The following is a 9217-nucleotide window of genomic DNA, read 5'->3' on the forward strand; positions in this document are numbered from 1 at the left end:
ACACCCAGCCTCCCTGTGTCCTGTTTCACTCCAACTTCCAAGCAAGCATGTCTTCCAGTCACTGGCAGTCATCAGCAACCATGTGCTTTCAAATCTGAGTCCTGCTAAAGCCCTACTGCAGTTTAATGTGTGCAATAATTTGTCAAGAATGTTGAGTGATCATAAGTATGGTACTAAGAACATCTCAGCAAACTACCTTTCGTTATGTGTTTTTTCTACCTTCTAATTCTAGAAAGTGAAATTCGTTATTCTACATGGAAGAAAGCTGTGATGAAGTCAATGGGTTGGGTTACAACTCAATCTCCAGAAAGTGGTAAAAATGTTTTTGTTTATTATTGTCACATTTTCTTAGTATATTAAATAGTTATTTAAGTATCTAGGCATTTACACATAGCCAGGCTGCTCTGAAGAAAAGCATTATCATATGTCCAGAGATTCTGACATTTTGAAAACACTTTAAAGTTCTAAACACAAAATGTAAATTATCAGGTTGATATACATACTTTAACTTTATCCTGCCATATCTTTCCTTATTAGTTTATTCTTGGTACTTCAATTGACAACTTAGTCTTCCAAGAGTAAAATTATTTCTAGTTTCTTCTTAATGAAAAAAAAAAATCAACTAGAGTCTTCATTTTTTTCCCCTCTCCTCTTACTTTACCTTTTTGGGGGGCTGTCTTTATGACCTGAACCAACTGAAAGCTGTATTAATTTCAGAATATATTCTGCTACTTCCTAGGCTGATTCCAAGTACATAATGGGAATTCCTTTGGAATCAGAGAAAGAAATATACCAAACATAGTAAATTCGAACTCTTATAAATAGATTGGGAAGTGCTCTTAGCAGAAAAAATAGTGGACTATTCTACCTTTCAGTCACTTAGGAAGGTCAAGAGCTTAAGTAAACCATTTAGATTTAAACAGCCTTAAGATGCATAGTATTATTATTTTTTGCTAAATGCAAGATGTGGAGCATAATGAATGGAACAATGGCAGATAATTTATTGAAGCATATACTTTTTTTTTTTTTTGAGACAGAGTCTCGCTCCGTCACCCAGGCTAGAGTGCAGTGGCACAATCTTGGCCCACTGCAACCTCCGCCTCCTGGGTTTAAATGATTTTCGTGCCTCAGCCTCCCAAGTAGCTGGGATTACAGGCGCCCACCACCATGCCCAGCTAATTTTTTTGTATTTTTAGGAGAGACGGGGTTTCACCATGTTGGCCAGGCTGGTCTGGAACTCCTGACCTCAAGTGATCCGCCCGCCTTGGCTTCCCAAAGTGCCAGGATTACAGGTGTGAGCCACTGCACCTGGCTTGAGCATATACTTTAATGGGGAAGAGTTGACAAATGAAATAATACCTGCCTTCCAACCCCAAAGTTAATGTATCTGTTTTTTAGGAGAAGCTTCCAGAACTATCTACTGCCACAGATAACTGTGGTCTGTATTTTCAGTCCCGGATGTTCCTATTTGAAGCTTTTGTTTTTCTCCTAAATAAGCTTAATATCTTTTGTTGTGAGACTCAGCTTCATTTTCCAAGATGGTGGCAACGTTTTTCTTGCTAAGACTGTAATTTTGAGAGACCCTTTACAACTAAACTTCTCAATCATAAGTACTTTTCTAGCACAGTGCTAGTTGCTGTGTGAGATATAACAGACGTAAGCCTTGACTTCTTTTCTAGTTGCCCTTAATTATTGCTTATAGGAAATTGAGTTACATTATTTCTTTAACTAGCTGGATGTTTTAAAATGGCACTTTAAATGGCATGTTTAAAATGACATTTTGTTTTGTTTTTTGTTTTTTGAGATGGAGTCTCACTCTGTTGCCCAGGCTGGAGTGCAGTGGTGGGATCTGTGCTCACTGCAACCTCTGCCCTCCGAGTTCAAGCGATTCTCCTGCCTCAGCCTCCTGAGTAGCTGGGATTACAGGTGCCTGCCACCGTGCCCGGCTAATTTTTTTGTATTTTTAGTAGAGACGGGGGTTTCACCATCTTGGCCAGGCTGGTCTTGAACTCCTGACCTCATGATCCACCCGCCTCAGCCTCCCAAAGTGCTGGGATTACAGACATGAGCCACCGCGCCTGGCCTTAAAATGGCATTTTAATCCTCCTGTCTCCCTCCCTCCAACCCCATGCCTTACACACAGATACACAGTTCTCCTCACTAGCGGTTGAGGATGTAATTTTAACTGCAAAATTCCCACAAAATCAACTGATCATTTTTCCCTTGTTTGTGTACTTTACTATCAATGAATTTAAAATACTAAGAAAAAGTTGATAAAACAAACAAAAAAAGATATCATTGCTCCAATTTCTGCTATCAGCATTAATGATAAAAGTAATTTGATCTTTTGAGAGTTTTATATTTTAAAGAACTTTGTTTTTGTTTCAGTTAGGCTGCAGTGGATTTAAGCCAGTTTGATTTTTTTTTTTTTTTTTTGAGATGGAGTTTCGCTCTTGTTGCCCAGGCTGGAGTGCAATGGCACGATCTCTGCTCACCGCAACCTCCACCTCCCGGGTTCAAGCAATTCTCCTGCCTCAGCCTCCCGAGTAGCTGGGATTACAGGCATGCGCCACCATGCCCGGCTAATTTTGTATTTTTAGTAGAGATGGGGTTTCTCCGTGTTGGTCAGGCTGGTCTCGAACTCCCAACCTCAGGTGATCCGCCCACCTCAGCCTCCCAAAGTGCTGGGATTACAGGCGTGAGCCACTGCACCCGGCCTGAAAATGTTTTTTGAATAGATTTATGAAAAACACTCTAATATTTAATATTTTGGGGGTCTCTAAGCTGTATAATAAGCTTGGAATAGTAATAAAATGCTAGTTGTATTCCTTTAAGCAATCTAAGCTATATAACTATATAAGTTATATGATAATAGCAATATAGATAGAATCCTATTTTGATAAACTTGAGAGGATATTAGAATTGCTACCTGTATCTTAACCTATGGGAAGAATATCAGGCTTGCTTAAGTTTCAAAGCAATTTGCCAATTTTGAAGCAATCATAATTATTTTCTTGTTTGTGACTATATTTGAATGCTTTGTAAACAATTTTTAACATACTTTTCATATGTGTTTAAAATGTATTGTCAGGTGCATTTTGTTACGCACCAAATTCTATTAAAAAAATAAAACTGAACTAATATTTTAGCAAACATAGGGTTTTAAATTCATCTTAGGACACTAATATAACTCTTCTCTCATGGCCAAAAGAGAACTATAATTTGAACTTAGGTGGAATTAAATAGATCATTTAATATATTTGGGGGAAGAATCAAGAAAGCTAAAATTAACAGCCTCCCAAAAAGTTATCCATAGGCTCACTCTGGCTTTGCCAGTGGAAGGCTAATGTTAGTCTATATGTATTATGTTCTTGGCTGTGTGGCATGCTATCTGTATTGTTTGTTAACTGTCATAAACCTTCAATATTGATTATATTTTTGATTTGAAGTAATAACTCTTTGCTAGCTTTTATGAATATACTATTTTTATAGCTTATTTTGTTTTGCTATCTTGTGATTCTTAACACAAATATTGTAATTATGTGTCTCTCTTTTGGTTTGCTTGACTGGAATTCTCTTCTGCTTGGATGACCACAGGTGACCCTAGTATCTTCTGTAGTCTGCCCTTGGGCTTTTTTATAGTGAGTAGCATGGTAATGTTAATCGGAGCAAGGTACATCTCAGGTTAGTTACTCTTTAAATTAGACAACTCTATTAGTTAGCTTTAATGTTTTCGTGTATAACTTAGCAGAAATTTTTCAGTGTTTTTCATTCTTTCTGTGTCTAGGAAGCTGGAAAATCAATAAAAGGTCTAATTAGTTAGACCAATTAATCTTTGGGGGCAGTTAGAAGTAAGAACTGTGACTCTGCTTACCCTTTTTAAATTTTTAATGTGATGACTTCTTTAAGAGGGACTACATTCTGCTGTCAGCTGCAGCAATAAGCAAAAGTGAAAATACTAATATTTAAATGAAAGGACTTTCAGACTGACTGCTGAAAGTTAAAGTATACTTTTGACATTAATTAAATTGTCTTTCAAATGTATATAAATTATTTTTCATAATCCTGAAAATTTGCTAAGCAAGTCTTAACTTTTCAATTCTGGCAAGTTTCAGCCAGAGCATGTCCACAGAGTTCCTGTAAAACCCTAAAACCAGGGAAGATTTATAGTTACTCTTATTTTAGTTAAAAGAATATCTTTTATGAACTGAAGTTTTAAAAATGATTCCTTAAATGAAGGGGTTGAAATGAAAACAGAATTATTTTTCCACATTAATTTATACTGAATAATCTTTTTTTAATAAAAGTAAAATGGCTCAGCATGTTATGGAATATATTGCATAATCTTATTAATTTATAATAGCCATTTGTGGAAGCTGCTCCTGGTGATAGCTCAATTTTTCTTAAAATTACTGGCTTAAATGGAAATGATGCTTCTTATTCTGTATGTTCCCATGAAAGTGAAACTTAAAAAAAAAATTCATGATTAGGGTTTCATGAAAAGGCCTTGTTTCTATGAAAATTGAGACAGGTTGCATCTCTCTAAGCTAAAAGATGGGCTATGTGTCTAGAGTCTTAGACTTCTAAAATGCATGTGGTCACTATATGTAGGTTATCTCTTCGGTGACATACACTGCAATTTGAGAGGGCTGGAAATTGTTTGCCTTGGTAAACGATTAGCAACAGTGGCAATATTTGTTAATTTTGGAATTGGCCCTGTTTGTTGCATTTTAATTGTGAGGCATGATTTAGAAATCATATGGACTTTCTAGCTTAATAAATGATTGAATCATCTGCATTGCTTTAACTCCTGAATTGTATGCATGTATTATTGACATATATGGTTTTTGTTCCCCATTTCAGGTATTCCATAAAACCTACCAACTCATGGATTCCCAAGATGTGAGCTTTTTACATAATGAAAGAACCCAGCAATTCTGTCTCTTAATGCAATGACACTATTCATAGACTTTGATTTTATTTATAAGCCACTTGCTGCATGACCCTCCAAGTAGACCTGTGGCTTAAAATAAAGAAAATGCAGCAAAAAGAATGCTATAGAAATATTTGGTGGTTTTTTTTTTTTTTAAACATCCACAGTTAAGGTTGGGCCAGCTACCTTTGGGGCTGACCCCCTCCATTGCCATAACATCCTGCTCCATTCCCTCTAAGATGTAGGAAGAATTCGGATCCTTACCATTGGAATCTTCCATCGAACATACTCAAACACTTTTGGACCAGGATTTGAGTCTCTGCATGACATATACTTGATTAAAAGGTTATTACTAACCTGTTAAAAATCAGCAGCTCTTTGCTTTTAACAGACACCCTAAAAGTCTTCTTTTCTACATAGTTGAAGACAGCAACATCTTCACTGAATGTTTGAATAGAAACCTCTACTAAATTATTAAAATAGACATTTAGTGTTCTCACAGCTTGGATATTTTTCTGAAAAGTTATTTGCCAAAACTGAAATCCTTCAGATGTTTTCCATGGTCCCACTAATTATAATGACTTTCTGTCTGGATCTTATAGGAAAAGATACTTTCTTTTTTCTTCCATCTTTCCTTTTTATATTTTTTACTTTGTATGTATAACATACATGCCTATATATTTTATACACTGAGGGTAGCCCATTTATAAATTAAGAGCACATTATATTCAGAAGGTTCTAACAGGGCTGGTCTTAAGTGAACCACTGTGTATATAAATATGTTGGAAAACAGCTGTATACATTTTTGGGCAACGGTTATGCATAATATTTACCAGGAGAATTTTTTTCTTAACAAGCCAACATTTAAAATTTATGTTTTATGTCAATAAAAGAAAATATACTTTATTGTGACTTCAACTATATTTCTTATCCCTTACATTTTTATTTAATTGTCTTAGCTTAAAAAAAGAAGAAACTGTGGAATACTACAGTAAATATTGTTTTCAAACACAAGCAATAATTCAAATAGTTATTTTTCTTTTGAATTAATTTTAGACATATTTTGGATCCTATTGAGGGGATAAGAGGATGTCAAAAAAGTTAAATACCTAAGTAGAAAAAAATATAGAAATAAAGCCAAGAATCTCTTTCAGTTCAAATGTTATCAATTGTTAATAAGAAATTGCTATCTGGGATGACAGAATTACCTCTGCTTAGTATCTCATTATAACTGAAAGAAGGTTTATCATTACAAATACCTTCCAATGAAACCAAGAATTTCTCAAAATATTTAATGTCACATATTATAAGAAGTTACCTAATCCTGCTTCTTAACATCAATTTTTAAAAATATCTTAAAATTACTTTGTTTTGTAGTAAACAGTGAAGAAAAGATTGCCTCCTAATTATTTTTTTCAATGAGTGCTGAATGGGAAAACATTTATATCTTACTATAAAAGGTTCTGTTTTGTTTGGAATCAATGGTAGCTTTATTGACTGTTCTGATTGTGCTGTTTCTAATTTATTGAATCTGCTAGGTTTTATTGATGCAGCCACCACTTAAGTGACATAAATATTATAGAAAGGTACTGTGAAATGATCACTTTGTGGCAGGGGTACTTTTAAACATAAATGTTTCTACAAAAGTAGGTTGAGTTCATTGTAAATAATTGTGAAAGCCACTGTTCAAATAATTTTAAGATTACATTAATTTTTCTATAAATTGGAAGATTTATAAATGTTTGAAATTGTACACATTGATATTTAATGACAAATTTACTTAAAATAAATTGACCCCTTGTTCTTACTTGCATTTCTCATTTACAGACTAGAACTTAGTTGAAAGTTAAATTAAGAAAGATGTTTCAGAGGCCGGGCACGGTGGCTGACGCCTGTAATCCCAGCACTTTGGGAGGCCGAGGTGGGCAGATCACCTGAGGTCAGGAGTTCGGGACTAGCCTAACCGACATGGAGAAACCCTATCTCTACTAAAAAAAAAAAAAGATGTTTCAGGACATGTGAAACTTGGCTGTTAGCGCTTGATAGGGCACACTCTGAAGAGTTAACCAACAGCCAAAGAAGTAATTTCTGTAATGATGAACACTTTAATCATTCTATTAGAAGAAACTACACTGTCCCATCTCAGCATTTGCAAAAAATAATGTTGGTAAGGTCAGCAGCCATTATCAACAGGGCCTTGCATGGCTAACTTTGACCACCATTTTTCTCTCAACCTGATAGGCAACACCTCAATCCTTTGTTCTCCAACTAATCAGTAAAATAAGTAATGCATCTCTGCTTCTGTAATGATATCTTAGAATTTTTAGTATGTTTCTTTTGAAGTGCCCAAAGCCCAATTCTTTGGGATATCTTTTGGGTATCTGGTATCATGTGGGAGTGAAGAAAGAAAGTTTTTGGAGAAACCAACAAATGAAAGCTGTGATAGCACAGAAGCTAATGGCATTGACAGTGGAGTAGGTAGTATTTAATCTGTAGTGTTTACAACATAGTAGATAGAAGTACAAAAATTTTTTTAACTATAACTCTTTAATAGCTTGTTTTATCTAGTAATATTTAAATAATGAAGTTTCCTTGATCCTTTGCTTTTGCAACCTAACAACTTTAATAATAAGTTCACACAATAAACAAATTAGTAGAAAACTGAGTGAATTTGTAAATCAATCTGATTTCTACTTTGTGTATACTTTATAGGTACATATCTTAATTCTGGCCTTATAATTAAATATAACCTGTGCCAAATATCGTAGACAAAAAAAACTCTCACAGGTATTTCCTGAGATTTCCCTGTCATCAAATTTAATGAAAATGACCCATTAAATTAAATTTGAGGACCATAAAGATAAATATTCTGAGAAGGAGAAGTTAGGTTAAAAACAAGTTTCTCAACTAGGCCAATACCTTTAATTGCCAGTTTTCATTCTATTTCAAATAACTAGTTCTACCTGACAGCATAACAGTTGAGAGGATGACAATATTTTATTTTAAAAAGCAGCTTCAGCCTCTTTCAATTTTCCTGTTTAGTATTAAAATTTAGTTTCTTTTATTCCTTATTATTGAACTTGATAATATCTATCTCATAGGTTTCTTATTATTGTATGACTAGTTTACAAGTGGATTTCATAAATATGAAATCATTTAAGTAATCACCACAATATCCAACAAAGAGAAACTTGTTAAATAAATTCTGGTACAGCCATACAATGAAAATGTGTAGCTTTAGAAAAGAATGAGGACACTGTCTAGAAAGATATGGTATTTGGGATAAGTGAAAAAGCAAGGTGCGGAGTAGCATGTAAGTGTGCTACCCTTCTATTAGAGAGAGAGACAGAAACTAGAATGTTTGCCTATGCTGGAAGGACAGAAAAGCTGTTAATAGTGCTTATCCACTGGGACAGAAAGGGTTGATAATTAGGCATTTGGGAGAAAGGGGTGGGAAAAAATTTCACTATACATATGTGTGTGTGTGTGTGTATGTATATGTGTGTGTGTATGTGTGTATATGTGTGTGTGTGTATATATATATATATATATATATATATATTTTTTTTTTTTTTTTTTTTTGAAATGGAGTCCCATTCTTGCCCAGGCTGGAGTGCAGTAGCGTGATCTGGGCTCACTGCAACCTCCACCTCCCAGGTTCAAGCAATTCTCCTGCCTCAGCCTCCCGAGTAGCTGAGACTACAGGTGTACGCCACCACACCCAGCTAATTTTTGTATTTTTAGTAGAGACGGGGGTCTCACCATGTTGGCCAGGTGGGTCTTGAACTCCTGACCTTGTGATCCGCCTCCCGTCCCCCCCCCTTGTCCTTCCAAAGTGCTGAGATGACAGGCGTGAGCTGCCGTGCCCAGTCTGTCCACTTCATTTCTTTGATAAAACTGCTTGGAAATGAGAATATTACTCCTCTTATAAAAATGGGAAAAAGAAAGAGATTAGAAAGAAGAAAGTCACCCATAGTCCTAAAATGATCCCTGTGGTTATTTTGATTTTTCCCCAGACTTTAAGGGAATATTTCATAGAACTTGAGTGTTCATAAACTATATAAAAATTTCAACATGCAAACTAGTCAGGGCTGTCATGTATGTAGACACAAGTGAACTGAAAGTATAAAATAGGCATAGAGATGATAAATACCAAGTTTAGTGGTGGTTACCTCTGAAAGAGGAGGATGGGGTCAGGGAAAGGGACTTTGCTGAAACCTGGAAAGTTGTGTTTCTAAAAAAATTAAGAGTTAAAACAAATGTAGCAATACCTTAAGATTTGGC

The 9217-nt window shown here is 35.2% G+C and overlaps 1 protein-coding gene across 15 annotated transcripts in view; it reads left to right on the forward strand.

Moving 5' to 3' along the window:
* GK (glycerol kinase) overlaps window positions 1-7594 on the forward strand; it is a 78040-nt gene extending 70446 nt beyond the window's left edge. For 8 of the 15 annotated variants that reach the window (NR_174369.1, NR_174370.1, NR_174371.1 and 5 more), the window contains 3 exons: window positions 233-313; window positions 3598-3684; window positions 4864-7594. Coding sequence is in view for 8 of the 15 variants with exons in the window: in XM_011545491.3 (XP_011543793.1) it covers window positions 233-313; window positions 3598-3684; window positions 4864-4874 (179 nt within the window). In the remaining 7 variants the exon portion in view is untranslated. The remainder of the gene's footprint in view (window positions 1-232; window positions 314-3597; window positions 3685-4863) is intronic. The other 7 variants (NR_174373.1, NR_174374.1, NR_174375.1 and 4 more) reach the window with 1 other exon arrangement.

The sequence above is a fragment of the Homo sapiens genome, chromosome X, assembly GCF_000001405.40.
Source record: "Homo sapiens chromosome X, GRCh38.p14 Primary Assembly".
Taxonomy (NCBI): Eukaryota; Metazoa; Chordata; class Mammalia; order Primates; family Hominidae; genus Homo; species Homo sapiens.